The following is a 21269-nucleotide window of genomic DNA, read 5'->3' as shown; positions in this document are numbered from 1 at the left end:
GAGCCACCTCACCAGGCCATGATGTATCAATTTTTTAAAGCTCCATTAGAAATTGCAATTGAGCTACTGAAACAAAACGTGTAGTGTATACATTACATGATAATTATCTGAAACCCAGTCTTATGATCAAAAAGAACAGTTTATGGCATCATTTGGCTGATACTGCTTCTGTGATTCGATGGCTTGATAGCTAAATCCCTGGACAAATTACCACTTGTCAAGTTTCAAAAAGATAGTGGTAGTTGGCTCCTCAAGTACAGGAAGAACTTGGATGAGCTTTTCCTTCTGAACAAAAAGTTTGGTTTAGAGGTTCACTTGCTCTTCAGCATAATCAAGCTGACATGTGGACCCATAAGTTGATATTGAATGCATTATATGAATTATAAGAAGTGTGCAAAATAAGTTGTAGAACTGAGTGCTTTGCCTACAAATATTCATAACACTACTGTGGGGTTTGAGCTTTCAGATATTTCTGGATTTTTCTAAGGTTTCTCATTGCATCCCTGTCATTAATAATGTAAAACAACGTCAGTATGGTGACTTTCCCCAGGTGAGGGCTTTGGAGACCAGCAAGATTTACATTCGATGTGAATGTTTGTGCTGCAAACTGTTGGCGACCACACACATGTACACATACACACTCCCATGCACACATGCGCACACATATACACACTCACATTCGCCTGCCCCCGTGGCTCAGAATTTACCCAGAGAGGACGCATTTGCTTTATGTGAATATTTTAAGGTGGGGGGAATGACCACATTCTGTAGCCCTGCAGCCTGAAAACAGACTCCTGCTGAGGGAAGTTGGACTGCCAGGGGCAGGGAGAGTCTCTGATTGAGCAGCTGCGGATGAAGTAAGTGTAACCAAAAGAGCAAGTTTCTCTGAGGAGCTCAGCCTGGTGCTTTGCCTCTGTCTCTTTCCGGTGAAAGTTTTGTTCAATGCTGTGAAAATTACACTGCCCTTGAATGAAAAACTGTTTGGAAATGGAGTGAATGGCTAGTCAAAGGCTCCCTATTACCCGAGTGGGTCGGGGTGGTCATGAGGAGTGACTGCGAATCTGCTAGTGGGTTCATGGAGGGAAGAAAACATTCTGAAATTGAATGACAGTGATGGTTGCATGACTCCATAAATACACTTGAAACCATTGACTTCTACACTTAAAATGGGTAAACTTTATGCCTCATAAATTGTATCTCAGTAAAGCTATTGGAAAAAAAAGCTTTATGTTCATTGCCACAAGTTGCTAGTTTTCATAGCAAGAACAATAGGCACATGAGCCAAGTAACATGACTTAACCACTTGGGCCCATTTCAATTTTAAAAAGAGGCTTCTAATTTCTGAATCTGGATTAAAAAAAACAAAACCAAAAAAATACGGTTGCTGTGCCTAGTTTAGAGCTTTTATAAATGATGATATTTTGTTAACTCAGGGCTTTACACTGTTGTGGGGCTCCCAAATCCATAGGCCTTGGGATGATAAGAAATGTTTTAATCGTGATCTGAACGGTTAAGGTCAGTACTAAGGAAGAGGAGCCCCAGTGTAATCCTTGTAGAAATATAACCATGAAATATACTGTCCCAGTCTTGGTCCCCTCCTGCCCCGTGAACTTCTCTCCCACCCTTATGATTCCACTGTTCTCTTGGATTTTACTCTGAAAATCTAGGGTGGAATGTTCTGGAGTATGAGTTGTTCATGTTAACTGCTGTATTAGTCCTTTTTCATACTGCTGATAAAGACATACTCGAGCCTGGGTAATTTATAAAGGAAAGAAGTTTAACTGGGTCACAGTTCCACATGGGTGGGGAGGCTTCACAGTCATGGCAGAAGATGAAGGAGGAGCAAAGTCACGTCTTACATGGAGGCAGGCAAAGAGAGCTCTTGTGTAAGGGAACTCCTCTTTATAAAACCATCAGATCACGTGAGACTTATTCACTATCACAAGAACAGCATGGGAACGACCTGCCCTTGTGATTCAATTACCTCCCACCAGGTCCGTTCCATGACACATGGGAATTGTCAGAGCTACAATTCAAAATGAGATTTGGGTGGGGATATGGCCACAGAACCTCAACAGCTTATATCCTACTCACCACGTTGTTGAAATTGAAGTTTCTAGTGATATCTACCACAGGTACCTAGCTCTACTGCTTCCTGAATTCTTACCAAGACAGACACATTTGAGGTCTCCACTACAAGATAGACATAGAGAGGTAATGTTTGCTTGTGGAAAAGAGCTGCCCTTCCTTACTTCACTGGCAGTTTCAAATGTCAGATGAAGAAAATGCAACCCTCAGTCTACTTCTTGGAGGCTCAGCTGTAGATCTTTTTTTTTTTTTTTTTTTGACGGAGTCTCACTCTGTCACCAGGCTGGGGTACAGTGGCGTGATCTCAGCTCACTGCAACCTGTGCCTCCCGGATTCAAGCAATTCTCCTGCCTTAGCCTCCCCAGTAGCTGGGACTACAGGCACTCGCCACCACACCCTCTAATTTTTGTATTTTTAGTAGAGACGGGGTTTCACTGTGTTGGCCAGGGTGGTCTTGATCTCCTGACCTCGTGATCCACCCACCTTGGCCTCCCAAAGTGCTGGGATTATAGGTGTGAGCCACCATGCCTGGCTGCTCTGGATTATTTTATTAGGTAACTCAAGGTGTACTAGGAGAGAATGTACCTTAACTTACCATGATGCTTAGCTCTGAACAGGCAGTCTGGGCCGTTTCTACGTCTACCAGGAACCTTCCAAATTCAAGTATCATGCAAGACCATGGTGTGGCCACTGTACAAAGCCTGCTTTGGAAAGCCCAATGACAAGGCTGCTCAAATAAACAACTTCAGGTGTGACAATTCTGGTCTGGAGGCACAAGCGTTCTTTTGGGAAACTGTTTCACCTCGTGCCACGTCATAGTTGGGTGAGGTCATTTAAGGAGCCCAGTATGCCCTTGGATGTTTAGGGAAACCTGATGTCACAAATAAAAGTCCGTACAGAAATCAAGTCATTGAGGAAATCAGTTGAGACCGTTAAGTTTGAAGAGTGGAGGCTCTGCTTGAGGAGTAGGGAGGGACACGGAAGGGACAGTCTTTGGCCTCAGGCTATCTTCTCATCAGGAGAAGGGGCAGTCTCTGGTCTCAGGCTGTCTCTTCACAAGGAGAAGGGAAAGTGTGTTAATTCCTTAGGACAATTTGCTGTGGGAGACATGAACAGAAGTGATCGGAAGTTATCAGGAGAAAGGTGACTTCTGAAGATGATCATTTGAATTTTTGCCAAAAGAAGGGGGAAGAGACTCTTATGTGGCAACAGAGAACAATTTGGAGGCAGGAGAAAGAAAAATTTGGCGGAAATAATCATGCCTTTATTTTCATATTGATTAAAGAGTGTGGGGTATTCTTTTAATGCACCTAGGCAAGGAAGATGGGCTGGATCAGTGTTTCTCAGAGTTTAGTGTGCACACGAATCACTGCATCTTATTAAAGTACAGATTCTGATTCAGAAGGACTGGTGTAGGGCTGATACCCTGCATATCTAAAAAGCCCTCAGGCGATGACCACACTTTGAATAGTGAAGATCTGGAGATTGGCCTTACTACATATTGAGCTTTAAAACTCAACATGGCCCTTGGTAAGGAACAGCCTCCTAATGCTATTGGACAAGGAGGATTTTTCCCGGTACTTGGCAAGTCAGTTATTAAAATAACAGTAAGGGCTTATTAAAATAACCGTAAGGGCTTATGCCTGTAATCCCAGCACTTTGGGAGGCCAAGGCAGGAGGATCACGAGGTCAGAAGTTTGAGAGCAGCCTGGCCAATATGGTGAAACCCCGACTCTACTAAAAATACAAAAACTACCTGGGTGTGGTGGTACGTGCCTGCAGTCCCAGATACTCAGGAGACTGAGGCAGGAGAATCGCTTGAATCCAGGAGGCAGAGGTTGCAGTGAACTGAGACTGTGCCACTGCACTCCAGCCTGGGCAACAGAGCGAAACTCCGTCTCAACAAAAACAAACAAATAAAATAACAGTAAGGCTGATTGCCTAGAGATTAGTTGCTTGAGGAGAACCTCCTGCTACATATATATATATATGTCAGGCCTCTGAGCCCAAGCTAAGCCATCATATCCCCAGTGACCTGCACGTATACATCCAGATGGCCTGAAGCAACTGAAGATCCACAGAAGTGAAAATAGCCTTAACTGATGACATTCCACCATTGTGATTTGTTTCCGCCCCACCCTAACTGATCAATATTCTTTATAATCTTTATAACCCTTAAGAATGTACTTTGTGAGAGCCACCCCCTCCCCCAAAACATTGCTCTTAACTCCATCGCCTATCCTAAAACCTATAAGAACCAATGATAATCTCACCACCCTTTGCTGACTCTCTTTTTGGACTCAGCCCGCCTGCACCCAGGTGAAATAAATAGCCGTGTTGCTCACACAAAGCCTGTTTGGTGGTGTCTTCACATGGACACACGTGAGACTATATATATATATATATGCTTCCCACTGCTACTGTGATAAATTGCCACAAACCTAAAGGCTTGACATTAACACAAATTCATTATCTCACAGTCCTGGAGGCCTGAAGTCTGAAATGGGGCTCAGTGAGCTCAAATCAAGGTGTGGTCAGGAAGGCTGCGCTCCTTCTGGAGACTGCAGGAAGGACTTTCCCTTTCCAGCCTCTGGAGGCTGCCTGCATTCCTCAGCTCCTGGCTGTCTTCCTCCATCTTCAAAGCCAGCAATGGCGGGTGTAATCTTTCTGGGGCTGCCTCCCTCTTTCACTCTATAATGGGCCTTCTGATAACCCCAGCTAACCTCTGCATCTCAAGTCAGCTAACAAACTTAATACCTACTTGCCATCCATGTAATGTAACAGCCACAGGTGCTGGGGATCAGTACGTGAACATCTTTAGGGGGCATTATTTGCATATATAATAAAATATATAATATAATATAATACCCCTGCCCTCTTTTAACATAAATGGTAGCAAACCACATGCTGTTCTGAATCTTGTTCTTTTGGCTTAATACATAGTATAGGTGGTTCCAATTAAGTACATAAATACTGAGCTTTTTCCCCTTTACATTGAACTCATCAATACTTCTTTTTGTTTTTTTTTTTTTTTTTTTGAGACAGAGTCTCTCTCTGTCACCCAGGCTGGAGTGCAGTGGCGCGATCTCCTCTCACTGTAAGCTCCGCCTCCCGGGTTCACTCCATTCTCCTGCCTCAGCCTCCCGAGTAGCTGGGACTACAGGCACCCGCCACCAAGCCCGGCTAATTTTTATATTTTTAGTAGCGACAGGGTTTCACCATGTTAGCCAGGATGGTCTTCATCTCCTGACCTCGTGATCCGCCCACCTCGGCCTCCCAAAGTGCTGGGATTACAGGCGTGAGCCATCGCGCCCGGCCAAACTCATCAATACTTCTATTTGTTATGGTCTATTTCCCAGTAAACCTCAGCCTGCTAAGACCAGCTCTAGATTTAAATAATAATTGGATCTCATCATCGTGTCTCTGGCGCCTTCCTGAGTAATCTTCAACAGCAAGCTTGGTGAAAAGTGCTGGATGAAATGGCAGGCTTACCAGGGCCTGGCCCTGGGGCCAATACTTAATAACCCACTTCAAACAGGACTGTTTTGTGACTGTGCCCGGCTGCGTGGCAGGGAGGGATCAGGCATCAGGCAGCTTCTCTCTGTGTGGGCCTTGAATTCCCAGAGGGCCTGTCTGCTCTCGTCTTACCTGTCCCTACTCTTAAAGATCAGAAGCTCAAACCCATGCCACCTCCTCCAAGCAAAGGACTACCAAAGACTGGGCCCACAGGGATCACCATGAAGGCCAAGGAAATCTGTGGGAGTCAAGGGTGTTTTCACACAGAGAGGAGACTAGTCCAGGCATTTAAACACACAACATCCACAGAAACCATTTTTCCCCAGGTCAGGGCAGTTTGCATTAAAGGTACAGCATAGCCATGTGGATAGAGGCTTCAGAGAACTCAGGGCAGGGCAGGGGGCAGCACATGTATTCTAGAAAGGGCCAGACAGGGAATATTTTAGGCTTTGCGGGCCACGTGGTCACTATTGCTACTATTCAACTCTGCCACTGTAGCATGAAAGGAACCATAGATGATACATACACCAGTGGGTGTGGCTGTGTCCCAATAAAACTTTATTTACAAAAACAGGAGGCAGCAAAGTAAATTACAAAAATGGCCACAAACTTTTTCTCTTCTTTTTTTTGAGACAGAGTCTTGCCCTGTCACCCAGGCTGGAGTGCACTGGCACCATCTTGGCTCACTGCAACCTCTGCCTCCCAGGTTCAAGAGGTTCTCGTACCTCAGCCTCCCAAGTAGCTGGGATTACAGGCACCCACCACCATGCCTGGCTAAATTTTGTATTTTTAGTAGAGACGGGGTTTCACCATCTTGGCCAGGCTGGTCCCGAACTTGAAACCTCAGGCGATCTGCCCTCCTCGGCCTCCCAAAGCCCAAAGTGCTGGGATTACAGGCGTGAGCCAGAGCACCCGGCCACTTTGCTTTGTATTCGTGCCCTTCGCAGTGTGACTTTTCAGCTCCTCTCAAGATGTGGTGTCTTTTTTCCTACTCCTTAAATCTGGGCTGACCTTCTGACTTGTTCTGGCCTAAAGAATGTGGCAAAGTCATGTTGTGCCAGTTTTGAGGCAGACCTCCACAAGCCTTGGCCTTTCTGTTGCCTTTCTCTCTCTGTTCCACCTGTCTCCCACTCTCAACACCACCTCCACCCCCCTACATGTAAATAAGCCCAGGCTAGCCTGTTGGAGGCTGAGAGACCACACAGAACAAAAATTCCCATCTCTCCAGCCAACAGCCAGCCAACTCCCAGAAGCCAAGTTGCCTTGCTGACCTGTAGCTGGCCACAGACACAAGAGGAAGAAGCCCAGCAGAAACCAGAAGGACTGCCCAGTTGAGCCCAGCCTCAGTTACTCACAGAACCACAAGCAAATAATAGGTGGTGATTTTGAACCACTAGGTTTTGGGGTGTTTTTATACAGAATTATTGTTGTAATAGAAAAGTGAAACAATGGGGTAATACAACTCTTAGACTTCACAGAGTTGTGGAGGAAATTAAATGAGATGGTCTTTGTAAAAGTGCTTAATTGGGTTCCTGAATGAGGCAGCTTTCCATAAGTGTTCATTATTATTCTTGGCCTGAGGCAGTGTGTCCCATGTGAAAATCAAAACCATGATCTCAGCCAAATTAATTGTGCTGGAAATGGACTCCACTTGAGCATCCAATCAGCCACTTGTGGACCATATGTGGCCCCCCACTACAGAAGCCTGGGCCCTGCCTAAAACTTCTAACAAAACATTTTTTTTTTTTTGAGACAGAGTCTCACTCTGTTGCCCAGGCTGGAGTGCAGTGGCATGTTCTGGGCTCACTGTAACCGCCGCCTCCCAGGTTCAAGTGATTCTCCTGCCTCAGCCTCCTGAGTAGCTGGGACTACAGGCACCCGCCACCATGCCCAGCTAATTTTTGTAGTTTTAGTACAGATGGGGTTTCCCCATGTTTGCCAGGCTGGTTTTGAACTCCTGACCTCAGGTAATCTGCCCGCCTCGGTCTCCCAAAGTGCTGGGATTACACGCATGAGCCACCACGCCCAGCCCTAACAAAACCTTTTTAAAGTTATAATTACCAGACGCTCATGAGTGAGATGAGAAGGGCTCTGTGAAGTTTGGTGAACATATAGTAATACTGGACTCACCTGCCAAATATGAGGGACCTACCAAAAGATAGCAGACAGGTTTCAATAGTCTCTTCACGTTCAAGGAGAAACTCGGTGTGCCCAGCTTCTTAGAAGATCTGCTGGCCCTCCAGAAAAATGCCAGGCTTGCATGCACTGGACATAAGGTGTGAACAGCTGGAGACCAGCCTTAATAGCCACTGTGGAAGAGTGTTGAGCAGAATGGATCTTGGAGGATCTGTGGTGCTACTTGACTCTGATTAAAATTATACTTTCAGAAGTGATTCATGGATTTGGCACCAATACAACAGGTTATATGTGCAAGCATACTGTTTGCTGCTTTATTTGTAGGCAAAAAACTGGAAACTGCCAGAGTATCAACCAATAAGGGATGGTTGAAGAAACTGTGATACTTACACACATGTAGAATACTATGCAGCTCTATTTAAAAGTAAATTAAATCTATGTCTTTTGGCCTGAAGGGATGTCTATGATGTATTGTGAAGAGAAAAATCGGCCAGATGCGGTGGCTCATGCCTGTAATCCCAGCACTTTGGGAGGCCAAGGTGGGCAGATTGCTTGAGGCCAGGAGTTCAAGACCAGCCTGGCCAACATGGTGAAATCCCGTGTGTACTAAAAATACAAAAATTAGACAGGCATTATCGTACAACTCTGTGATCCTAGCTACTCAGGAGGCTGAGGCAGGAGAATCACTTGAACCTAGGAGGTGGAGGTTGCAGTGAGCTGAGATCACGCCACTGCACTCCAGCCTGGATGACGGAGGAAGATTTAACAAAAAAAAAGGAGAAAAATCAAGCTGCACAATAATTAATGCATAGAGAATGACTGCATTTTAATAAAACAACAAAATCCCATTTTAAGTGTATAAGAATTTGTCTAGGTTTGTGTGGGTGTGGAGAAGGTGTGGAAGGAATTCGTCTAGGTTTGTGTGGGTGTGAAGGTGTGGAAGGAATTCTCTAGGTTCGTGTGGGTGTTAGGAAGGTGTGGAAGGAATTCGTCTAGGTCTGTGTGGGTGTGGGGAAGGTGTGGAAGGAATCATCTAGGTTCGTGTGGGTGTGAGGAAGGTGTGGAAGGAATTCGTCTAGGTTTGTGTGGGTGTGGAGAAGGTGTGGAAGGAATTCATCTAGGTTTGTGTGGGTGTGAGAAGGTGTGGAAGGAATTGTCTAGGTTCGTGTGGGTGTGGGGAAGGTGTGGAAGGAATCGTCTAGGTTCGTGTGGGTGTGGAGAAGGTGTGGAAGGAATTCGTCTAGGTCTGTGTGGGTGTGGGGAAGGTGTGGAAGGAATCGTCTAGGTTCGTGTGGGTGTGAGGAAGGTGTGGAAGGAATTCGTCTAGGTTTGTGTGGGTGTGGAGAAGGTGTGGAAGGAATTCGTCTAGGTTTGTGTGGGTGTGAGAAGGTGTGCAAGGAATTGTCTAGGTTCGTGTGGGTGTGGGGAAGGTGTGGAAGGAATCGTCTAGGTTCGTGTGGGTGTGGAGAAGGTGTGGAAGGAATTCGTCTAGGTCTGTGTGGGTGTGGGGAAGGTGTGGAAGGAATTCATCTAGGTTTGTGTGGGTGTGAGAAGGTGTGGAAGGAATTGTCTAGGTTCGTGTGGGTATGGAGAAGGTGTGGAAGGAATCGTCTAGGTTCGTGTGGGTGTGGAGAAGGTGTGGAAGGAATTCGTCTAGGTCTGTGTGGGTGTGGGGAAGGTGTGGAAGGAATTCATCTAGGTGTGTGTGGGTGTGGAGAAGGTGTGGAAGGAATCGTTTAGGTTCGTGTGGGTGTGGAGAAGGTGTGGAAGGAATTCATCTAGGTTTGTGTGGGTGTGAGAAGGTGTGGAAGGAATTGTCTAGGTTCGTGTGGGTATGGAGAAGGTGTGGAAGGAATTCGTCTAGGTTCGTGTGGGTGTGGAGAAGGTGTGCAAGGAATTCGTCTAGGTCTGTGTGGGTGTGGGGAAGGTGTGGAAGGAATCGTCTAGGTTCGTGTGGGTGTGGAGAAGGTGTGGAAGGAATTCGTCTAGGTTCGTGTGGGTGTGGAGAAGGTGTGGAAGGAATTCGTCTAGGTTCGTGTGGGTGTGCACAAGGTGTGGAAGGAATTCGTCTAGGTTCGTGTGGGTGTGGAGGTGTGGAAGGAATCGTCTAGGTCTGTGTGGGTGTGGAGAAGGTCTGGAAGGAATTCGTCTAGGTTCGTGTGGGTGTGGAGAAGGTGTGGAAGGAATCGTCTAGGTTTGTGTGGGTGTGGGGAAGGTGTGGAAGGAATTCATCTAGGTTCGTGTGGGTGTGGAGGTGTGGAAGGAATCGTCTAGGTTCGTGTGGGTGTGGAGAATGGGTGTGGGGAAGGTGTGGAAGGAATCGTCTAGGTTCGTGTGGGTGTGGAGAAGGTGTGGAAGGAATTCATCTAGGTTCGTGTGGGTGTGGGGAAGGTGTGGAAGGAATCGTCTAGGTTCGTGTAGGTGTGGAGAAGCTACGGAAGGATACATGCCTGGGGGACTGGAATAGGGGGAGATGATTAGCTTTTCCTTTCTGCTTATTTTTTATTTGGAAATAACTGTAAACACAGAAAAGTTGCAAAAATAAAAACAGTACAAAGAATACCTATATACCCTTTACTCAGATTGACGTGCATTCCTTCCTTACCTACTCCTCTCCTCCTTCCCCCATTCCTTCCTCCATCCCTGTCTCTTTCACTCATAATTTCTGCCCTGTATGTGTGCATACACACACACGAACACACACACGCGCGTGTGGGACAATGTCCCAGTTCCTGACCAAGGCCTTGTGTTTTTCCACTGTCTTGTGCCTCTACTATTGCTGTGGGAAAGCATTCTTCTGGTGCCTGTTGTAGTGCTGCCATGAGACCAGAAGGAACATGTGTGAGGCAAACCTGAGCCCATCAGCACAAGAGCTAAACCCAGCAGCACACAGATTGTGAGTCTTTTTTTTTTTTTCTGTTTTCTTTTTTTAAGACAGGTTCTCTCTCTGCCACTCAGGCTGGAGTGCAGTGGCATAATCATGGCTCACTGCAGCCTTGACCTCCTGGGCTCATGTGATCCTCCCACCTTAGCCTCTGAAGTAGCTGGGACTACAGGCACACATCACCATGCCAGGCTTTTTTTTTTTTTTTTTTTTTGTAGAGATGGGGTTTCACCATGTTACCCAGGCTGGTCTCGAACTCCTGGGCTCAATCAATCCACCCACCTCAGCCTCCCCAAATGCTGGGATTACAGGCATAGGCCACCATGCCCAGCCACACACAGATTGAATTAGAGTGGCCCAACCAAATCCTGCCAACCTGTAGACACATGAGAAGGAAATACCAATTGTTGTAGACTGAGATGTTTGCATTTGTTTGTTATGGAGCAATGACTGACCAATACAGTTGCTAACACTTATAAAGCACTTACTTTATGCTATAGAGTGCTGTAAGAATTTTGCTTATATTATCTAATTTGATATGCAACAATCCTTCTCACAGATGAGGAAATTGAGACTAAGTCAGTTGCACAAGGCCACACAGCTAATAAGCTAACAAGCTATGTGACTATGGGACACACTGCCTCTGGACATATGCTAGGTGAGACAATAATTGATGGTGGGTTAAACCAGTTTGAGTTGGCATTTCTATTACTTGCAGCCTAAAGCATCCTACCTAATTCAGCTGTACAGCCTTCTTCCTACCTCACCCCTCCCTTCCTTATCTCTAGCCCTGGGGATTTTGATTACCCTGGGGAGAAGCCTTGCTTTGCCCAAACATTAATTTACACCTGGGCTCCTCCATGTAAACTCCAGTGGTTTAGATTTTTAGTGCACGAAAGCCAGTGAGTCTGGTCTTCTGTCTATAGAAATTCAGGGAGGAAAAGGATAAGCACCAATATGATACCAAAGAAAAAGTGATTGTGAGAAAAAATGTAATCCAACACGGAGTCAGCTTCTACCTAAAAAAGACAAAGTGAGTCCTGCTTCATTCTGAGTAGGTCAGTTACCAAATGTTCAGACAGGCCTTCGGGCTTGGAGAAAGAAATACACTTCAGAAAGTGAAATGAGGGCCTGTCCAGCATTGGAGGCACAGTGTGCCTGGGGGTCAAGACCAGGGCTAAGCAAAGGCATAGGATCTAGGGGGTGAGGCGGGTTAGATAAAGTGCACAAAGAGATTTCCATCCTTGATTAGTCCCGCACACCTATGGTTCTCAGTCTTGGCCATCTGTCAGGATCATCTGGTCTGGGAAACTTTTAAAAACCCCTATGCCAGGGCTATACCCCAGACCAACTACATGAGATTCTCTGAGGAAGGAACCCAGGAACCTGGTGCTTTGTGCAGTGAACGTGAAGAATTACACAGTTCCAGCCCCACACTGTTTGGGATACTCTCTACTCCTGAGGATAACCACCATTGTTGTGTGCCCACCAGTTACGAGGCGCCATGTATGTACTTCACATACCCCTCACAACAAAAGAAATATTTTTAACAGGTAGGGAAACTGAACCACAGGTAGCAAATACAGGATTCAAGCCCAAACAATCCAAAGGCCAAGTTTTTTACAGCCACACCTGTGGCTGTAATGCAAATAACCTGAGAATTAGAAGAGAAAATAGAACTTTATATGAGATTCAAAAGGGGGCAGGGCTAAGTGGGAAGAAAGAGCAATCTGGTGTTGCTGACTGGAGGGAGCCCAGCGAAAGAAGCCAGGTTCCTGGGATGGTGACACCAGGCCTTCGTTGACTAATGGGAGCAGATGGAAGAGCGAATCAGGCTGTGCAACTGGAACAAAGGGCCTCCAGAGAAAGAGAACAGGTGACCAGTTTTTCCTTACAGTCCCTCCTCCTAGTGCTCAGAGATGAGCACTGGGGGTTGGTTGAGGTCCAGCCGAGGGACTAGAAGATACGACAAGACCTGCCTTTGGGTTGTTTTTTCTTGGTCTTGGTCTCTTCCTTCTCTTTCCCTCCCTCCCTCAACCTCCCTCCTCACTCTAATAATTCATGAAATAAGCTTCCGAGGCTTCCCCACAAATTCTCCAGATGCAATCAGTCCCCTCAGACTCCTGTGAGGATTACCACCAAAACTGTAGCAAGAACTTATTTAAGTAAATGAGAAACACTGAGATTCCCCTAAAATGTTCTAAAAGGTATGCAGTTGTATCTCATTGTTTCAATTTGCAATTCTTTAATGATGTGGTGTTGAGCATCTTTTCATATGCTTATTTGCCATATCTATCTTCTTTGTTAAGTTTTAAGATTATTTGAATATTTTAAATAAGTCTATTACAATTATATCTTTTAGTCTGTGGCTTGCCTTCTCATTTGTAATGAGAAGGCAAAATTTTTAATCTCAATGAAGTCCAATTATTTCTTTCATTAATCATACTTTTGGTGTTATATCTAAAAAGTCATCATCATACTCAAGGTCATCTAGATTTTCTCCTATGTAATCTTCTAGGACTTTCATAGTTTTGCATTTTACATGTAGATCTCTGATCCATTTTGAGTTAATTTTTATGAAAAGTATAGGACCTCAAGTTCTTTTAGCATCCTTTGTTGGAAAGACTATCTTTGCTCCATTGTATTGCCTTTGCTCCTTTGTCAAAGATCAGCTGACTATATTTATGTGGGTCTATTTCTGGGCTCCCTATTCTGTTTCGTTAATCTATTTCTTTACTCTTTTGTCAATACCACTGCTTTGATTATTGTAACTTTATAGTAAGTTTTAAAGTTGGGTAGTGTCAGTCCTCTGACTTTGTTCTTCTTCAAACTAGCTATTCTGGGTTTTTTGCATCTCCATGTAAATTTTAGAACCAATTTGTCAATATAATAAAAAAGAGCTTGCTGGCATCTTTACTGAAACTGCATTGATTCTGTACATCAAGTTGAAGAGAGGTGACATCTTGACAGTATCCATGAACATGGAATAGCTCCCATTTAGTAATTTGATTTCTTTCATTAGACTTTTATAGTTTTCCTCACATAGATCTTGTACATGTTTTGTTAGATTTGTACCTAAGTATTTCTTTTTTGGTACTAGTGTTAATGGTATTGTGTTTTTAATTTCAAATTCCACTTGTTCATTGCTGGTATATAAGAAAGTGACTGGCTTTTTTTTGTATTAACCTTGTATCCTACAACCTTGATATAATCACTTTATTAGTTTCAGGAGTTTTGTTTTTTTCCTTTTTCTTTATTACTCACATTTTCAACATAAATAATCATAACATCTGCAAACAAAGACAGCATTATATCTTCCTTCACAGTCTGTATACCTTTCATTTTGTTAGATTTGTACCGGAGTATTTCATTTTAGGGGTTGCTAATATAAATAACATTGTGTTTTTTAAATTTCAAATTCCACTTGTTCATTACTAATATATAGGAAAGTGAATGACTTTTGTATACTAACTTTATATCCTGCAACCTTGCTATAATCACTTATTAATTCCAGGAGTTTTTTATTTATTCTTTTGGATTTTCTACATAGGTAATCACGTCATCTGTAAACAAAGTTTTATTTTCTTATCTTATTGCATGAGCTAGGACTTCCAGTACAATATTGAAAAGAGTGGTGAAAGGAAGAGGACATCCTTGCCTTGTTCCTGATCTTAGTGTACAAACTTCTAGCTTTTCACCATTAGATATGATTTTAGCTGTAGAGTTTTTGTAGATGTTCTGTATCAAGTTAAGGAAATTCCCATCTATTCCTACTTTGCTGAGAGTTTTTATCATGCATGGGTATCGAAGTTTGTCAAATGCTTTTTATGCATGTATTGATATAATCGTGTGATTTTTCTTCTTTGTTCTGTTGATATGATGAATTGCATTAACTGATTTTTGAATGCTGAACCAGCCTTACATTCCTGGATATATCACACTTGGTTGTCTTTTATAATTCTTTTTATACATTGTTGGATTCAACTTGCTAATATTTTGTTGAGAATTCCTGCACCTATGTTCATGAGAGATACTAATCTGTAGTTTTCTTGCAGTGTATTTGGTTTTGGTATTAGGGTAATGCTGACCTCAGGAATGAGTTAGGAAGTAGGCCCTCTGCTTCTATTTTCTGAGAGATAGATTGTAAAATAATTACTATAATTTATTTCCTAAATGCTTGCTAGAATTCACCTGTAAACCCATCTGGGTGGGTGTTTATATTGTTGAGTTGTAAGAGTTCTCTATGTACTCTGGATATAAATACCTTATCAGATACGTGAATTTGAAAGGTTTTCTTCCAGTCTGCGGCTTGTCTTTTTACTTTGTTGATTATGTCTTTTGAAGTTGAATGCTTTTAATTTTTATTAAATATAATTTATCAATGTTTTATCATTTGTGCTTTTAGCATTATATCTAAGAAACCACTGACTAACCAAGATCATGAAAATTTACTCCTATGCTTTCTTCTGAGAGTTTTATAGTATTAGTTCTTACATTTAGGCTTATGATGCATTTTGTGTTAATTTTTGTATGATGTGAAGTAGGCCGGTCGGGGGGGTGGAGTCCACATTTATTCATTTGGCATGTGGATATCCAGTTGTCCCAGAACTATTTTCTAAAAAGACTATTCCTTTCTCATTAATCAGCTGATTATAAGGGTTTATTTTTAGGCTCTTAATTCTATTCCATTGTTCTGTATGATCTGTCCTTATGCCATCACCACACTGCTTTGATCACTGTAGCGTTGTAGTTAAGTTTTGAAAATGAGAAGTGTGGCTAGGTGCAGTGGTGCATGCCTGTAATCACAGCACTTTGGGAGGCCAAGGAGGGGAGATGACCTGAGGTGAGGAGTTTGAGACCAGCCTGACCAACATGGTGAAACCCTGTCTCTACTAAAAATACAAAAAATCAGCCAGGCGTGGTGGCGGGTGCCTGTAATCCCAGCTACCCAGGAGGCTGAGGTAGGAGAATAGCTTGAACTCAGGAGGTGGGGGTTGCAGTGAGCTGAGACCACACCACTGCAGTCCAGCCTGGACAATGGAATAAGACTCCATCTAAAAAAAAAAAAAAGAGAAAACGAGAAGTGAAAGTTCTCCAACTTTGCTCTGAAAATTCATTTTGTACCTCGTAAGTCATCTATTCAATACTTTAAAACGTAGGAAATTGTAAATATAATAAACTGGGTTGAATTATAAATTTTTAAAAACTGTGTGTGCTAAAAAGTAAAGGTCCTGATTTCTAGGGCCCTGCTGACATCTCCTCAGAGTGCAGAAGTGTTGTGACACCAACTGGATTCAGCCATGTGGCCATGTTCCTGGGTACCTGAGCCCACACAGTGCACTATATCCTGGGAACAAACAGTCCAGCACATCAAGGAGGCTGCTCCCAGGACATAGAGAGCAGAGGCATGCACTCCCCAGAGACTGAGAGCTGCCTGCCCAGGGCCATTGCCACTGGCAGAGACCCAGCTTGTCCAGCAATGGAGCTGCTGTATACCCATGTGCATGCACCACCTGAAAGCCAATGACAGACCTCCCCAGAGTCTGCTGCTGCCATTGCTGGTACCCATGCCACTGTCATGGCTGGTACCCATGGCCCACCTGGCCCACTGCTGCCACTTCTCTGCTCATGTGCCTGAGGACTGGCTCACCAGGGGCCCATGCTGCCACTGCCAGTGCTCACATGTTCCACCTAGGGACTAGCTTGACAGAGGACCCACTGCTGCCCCCACTAGTGGCTGCCCCCTGGGGGTCCAAGGACAAGCCTACCAGGCCTGCTGCCACTGCCACCCATGTTCCCCACCACCTGGGGGCCTGAGGACTGACCCACCAGGGGCTCTACTGCCCATGTACCTTGCCCAAGGGCCTGAGGACCAGCCAGCCTAGCTACTGGTCACCCCAGTCCCCAGCAAAGTCTCACCACAACCTCACAAATTGTAGCCAAAGCCACTGGGGCATTCACAGATACCACTGGCATTGATACGGTCAAATAAATAATATGAAGACTACACTATGGTACCCACCCAGAACTAAAGGCAAAATACCCTACCCACTGACACTACAGATACATCTACAGGAAAAAGTAATTCCCTATGAGAGCTACTCCATAAAATTGGAAGAAGCATCTGTTACATCAGATGTACAGCTATCAACATAAAAACACAAGAAACATGAAAAAGCAAGGAAACACACCACCTCCAAACACACACACACACACACACAGAGACACACACACACACACACAAATAATTCTCTAGTAACAGAACGCAAAGAAAAGAAAATTTATTAAATGCTTGAAAAGGATTTCAAAATAAAGATCTCAAGGAACACATGGAGATTGCAAGAGAACACGGGTGACAAAACAAAGATATCAGAAAAGCAATTCACAATCTGAATGGGAAATTAAACAGATAGACAGATATATACATATAAAAAGAAGCAAACATATATCCTGGAAATGAATAATTCAATAAATGAAATTAAAAAATATAAGATCTTCAAAAATGGACTAGATCAAGCTGAAGAAAGAATTTCTAAACTTGAAGACAAGTCTTTTGAAATAACTTGTCAGTCAAAAAGAAAGAAAAATAAAGGAAAAAAAAGAAATGTTAATGAAGAAAGCTTACATGATATATGAGAAAACATCAAGCAGACAAATACTTGAATTTTGGGAGTTCCAGAAGGAGAAGAAATGAGGAAAGGCAAAGAGAACCAATTTAATGAAATAGTCAAAAACTTCACAAGTCTTGGAAGAGATATAGACATTCAGACACAGGAAACTCAAAGATCCTCAAATAGATTCAACCCAAAAATATCCTCTCTCAGGCACATTACAGTGAAATTATCAAATGTCAAAGACAGAGAAAATGCTAAAAAAACAGCAACAAAAAAGCATCAAGTCACATATTAGCCCCTTCAGACTAACAGCAGATTTCTTAGCAGAAACATTACAGTCCAGGAGAGAATGGGATGATATATTCCATGTGCTAAAAGAAAAAACCTGCCAACCATGGGTAATATACCCAGCAAAGCTATCCTTCAGAAATAAAGGAGTAGTAGTCTTTCCCACACAAGAAAAATGGAGGGTATTCATCACCACTAGACCAATTCTACAAGGAATGCTTAAGGGAATCCTATATCTGGAAGTGAAAAGACAATACCTATCATCATAAAAACACATGAAAGTCCAAAATTTGCTGGTACAGCAGATACACAAGTGAAAGGAAATAAAAAAAGAATCAAACATGATTACTACAGAAAACCACCAAATCACAAAGATAAGCAACAAGAGAAGGAGAAAGGGACAAAGGATATACAAACCAATCAAAAAACAATTAACAAAATGACAGGAGTAAGTTCTCACCTACTATCAACAATAACCTTGAAGACAAATGGCTTAAATTTCCCAATTTAAAAATATAGACTGCCTGGGCATGGTGGCTTATGCCTGTAATCCCAGCACTTTGGCAGGCAGAGGCAGGCGGATCACTTGAGGTCAGGAGTTTGAGACCAGCCTGACCAACATGGTGAAACCCCATCTCTACTAAAAATACAAAATTAGCTGGGTGAGGTGGTGCATGCCTGTAATCCCAGCTACTTGCCAACATTCTGAGGCAGGAGAATTGCTTGAATGTGGGAGGCAGAGTTTACAGTGAGCTGAGATCGTGCCATTGCACTCCAGCCTGGGCAACAAGAGCGAAACTCCATCTCAAAAAAATAATAAATAAATAAATCAAATATATAGACTGGCTAAATGGATTTAAAAAAAAAAGTCAAGACTTGGCTATATGCTGCCCTCAAGAAACTCGCTTCACCTGAAAAGACACAAAGACTGAATGTGAAGGAATGGAAAGACATTCCACACAAATGGAAACCAAAAGCATGCAAGAGTAGCTATTCTTATATCAGACAAAATAAACTTTAAGTCAAAAACCATAAAAGGAGACAAAGAAGGCCATTATATAAATGATAAAGGGATCAATTCAGCAAGAGGATATAACAATTATAAATATATATGCATCCAACACCAGAGAACCTAGAGATATAAAATAAATATCATTAGAGCTTAAGAGATAAGTTCCATTGGTCTGAAAATGCATTTTGAGAAAATAAAAAGGAGAGATAGGCTCCAATATAATAATAGTTGGGGACTTCACCACCCTTCACTCAGTGGAGAGGTCATCTACAAAGAAAATCAACAAAGAAACTTCGGACTTATACTGCACTCTAAACCAAATGGACCTAACAGATATTTACAGAACATTTCATCTAACTGCTGTAGAACACACATTCTTCACTTCAGCATATGAACCTTTCTCCAGGATAGATCATATGTTAGGTCACAAAAACAAATTTCAACAAGCATGAGGAAACAGCGAACATACCCAAATTCAGGGACATTCTACAAATTAGCCAAGTACTCTTCAAAATGTCAATGTCAAAAAAGACTCAGGAACAGTTCCTGATTATAGATTAAAGCAGCATGGCCACTGAATGCAACACTGGATCTTGGATATTCTTTTGCCATAAAGGGCAGTAGTAGGACAATTAGTGAAATCTGAATTTGATTTATAGATTGGATAACAGCATATTAACACTGATTTCCCTGATTTTGATCATTGTACTGTGGTTAGGTAAGAACATTCCTTGCTTTTAGAAATACACACCAAAATATTAAGGGTAAAATGAGCATGATATCTGCAACTTACTTTTAACTTGTCCAGAAAAAAAAAGTGTCTGTGTGTATGAGTGAGTGTGCATGTGTGAGAAAGAGAGGAGGGAGAGGCAAATGTATAAAATATTAACATTTACAGAACTGGGGTAAAGAGTATCTGGAAATTCTTTGTTCTCTTTTGCAACTTTTCCTTAAGCCTGATATTATGTCAAAATTTAAAATAAACATTTTAAATTTGTTTGGTGAGTCGTTCCCTTTGTACCTTTATCCCAACTACCCAGCTGGCTCTAGAAAGTTTCTTCCTTGAGTCTGCATCTGTTTTTTGTTTTGTTTTGTTCTTTGGCGACACAGTCTCATTCTGTTGCCCAGGCTGGAGTACAGTGGCACAGTCTTGGCTCACTGCAACCTCCGCCTCCCTGGTTCAAATGATTCTCCTGCCTCAGCCTCCCAAGGAGGAGCTGGGATTACAGGCAACCACCACCATGCCTGGCAAATTTTTGTATTTTTAGTAGACATGGGGTTTCACCATGTTGGCCAAGCTGGTCTTGAACTCCTGACCTCTGGTGATCTGCCCATCTTGGCCTCCCAAAGTGCTGGGATTACAGGTGTGAGCCACCACGCCCGGCCTCGAGTCTGCATCTAAACAGGGCTAATTACTACTATTTGTCTCACATACCCCTTTGAAGATCTGATAAAGCTTCAGGCCCTCTCCCCAGAAATACATTCATACTCTCATACTCATATACACTTGCCTTTGCATACAACCACCTCAGATTAAGAAACTTGACTTGGGAGACCAGCAATCAAATATCTAAACAAGAAGTTAGAGGTCCCACCAGCAAAGTGAATGGGAAGTATATGGCTGGGCTCTGAATCATGAGTCCCTATCCAGGGTTCAAGGGCCTCTTTGGCCTTGGATGATTTTCCTCCTACATCTTACTCACTTCTGCAGACAAGGAGGGGGCTGGCTGAGAGGCCCATTCTAGCCTGGACTTAGATGCTATCTTCTGCTTACTATCTGTGCATCCTTGGGGAGTTACTTAACCTCTGAAGCCTCAGTTTTCTCTTCATAAAATAGAGGCAATTACAGGACCACCTCATAGGGCTGCTGGAGAAAGAGGAGTTCAGAAATGGGAGCTTCCGTTATTTTTGTATTTTTAGCACCTAATATTGTCTGCTTAATGCTTTGTGACCTTTGCTGTTTTTACCAAGCCCAGCCTAGCACTGGCTCTGCAAGAGCTGAGTAGTGTCTGCTCCTCAGTGGTAAGCAACTACTGTACTCAGAGGCATGAGGCCATAGCCTAAGGCTTAATCTCAAGGGCCCATGTTGCCAACAATCCTTGCTTCCTCAAGACCTTCTAAGATCAGGCTTTTTCTTTTTATCCCACTTGGAGCCTAATGTCCTTCACTGGACATATCTTTTCATTTAATTGAACCTTTAGCAATATTCAGTTTAACTGGAATACTAGACATTTTGGGCAAATGTGAACATATTAGTAGCACGTTTGCTTTTCAACTGTCATTTATCTTCAACTCAAAATTCTCTTTCTCAAAATGAAACGAATTATAGTGTCAAAGTGAAAACAAGTGTGTCTTGAACTCCTTGATTATTCATTAAGAGGAAAAGAATGAAATTTCAGATTGATAGTGCACATTTGTGTGTGTGCTTGTGCGCACACTCTCTCTCTCTGGAGGCTCATAGAGTGTCCCAAACCATAAGCTAAAACTGCCCATCTTCTTAGGGTTTCAATTCTACCCAAAGCTTTGGAGTGAAAAAATCCATTTTAATATTAAAACAATCAGATATACTTAAAGAGCAGAATATAACATACCTGTAATTTTTTTTGTTTTTTTGAGACGGAGTCTCACTCTGCTGCCCAGGCTGGAGTGCAGTGGCACAATCTCGGCTCACTGCAACCTCCACCTGCCAGGTTCAAGCAATTCTCTTATCTCAGCCTCCTGAGTAGCTGCA

General features: G+C 43.1%; 3 annotated features.

The window, feature by feature from the left end:
* Positions 3389 to 3889: an enhancer, noted in NCBI's record as "H3K4me1 hESC enhancer chr20:18196055-18196555 (GRCh37/hg19 assembly coordinates)". NCBI's record gives its function as "activates a minimal SCP1, AML or CMV promoter by ChIP-STARR-seq in primed H9 embryonic stem cells {active_cell/tissue: H9 hESC(primed)}" and the evidence as "EXISTENCE:reporter gene assay evidence [ECO:0000049][PMID:30033119]".
* Positions 3890 to 4390: an enhancer, noted in NCBI's record as "H3K4me1 hESC enhancer chr20:18195554-18196054 (GRCh37/hg19 assembly coordinates)". NCBI's record gives its function as "activates a minimal SCP1, AML or CMV promoter by ChIP-STARR-seq in primed H9 embryonic stem cells {active_cell/tissue: H9 hESC(primed)}" and the evidence as "EXISTENCE:reporter gene assay evidence [ECO:0000049][PMID:30033119]".
* Positions 15865 to 16365: an enhancer, noted in NCBI's record as "H3K4me1 hESC enhancer chr20:18183579-18184079 (GRCh37/hg19 assembly coordinates)". NCBI's record gives its function as "activates a minimal SCP1, AML or CMV promoter by ChIP-STARR-seq in primed H9 embryonic stem cells {active_cell/tissue: H9 hESC(primed)}" and the evidence as "EXISTENCE:reporter gene assay evidence [ECO:0000049][PMID:30033119]".

Source organism: Homo sapiens, chromosome 20 (assembly GCF_000001405.40).
Source record: "Homo sapiens chromosome 20, GRCh38.p14 Primary Assembly".
In the NCBI taxonomy this organism is placed as follows: domain Eukaryota; kingdom Metazoa; phylum Chordata; class Mammalia; order Primates; family Hominidae; genus Homo; species Homo sapiens.
This window is presented reverse-complemented; position numbering and strand designations above follow the sequence as displayed.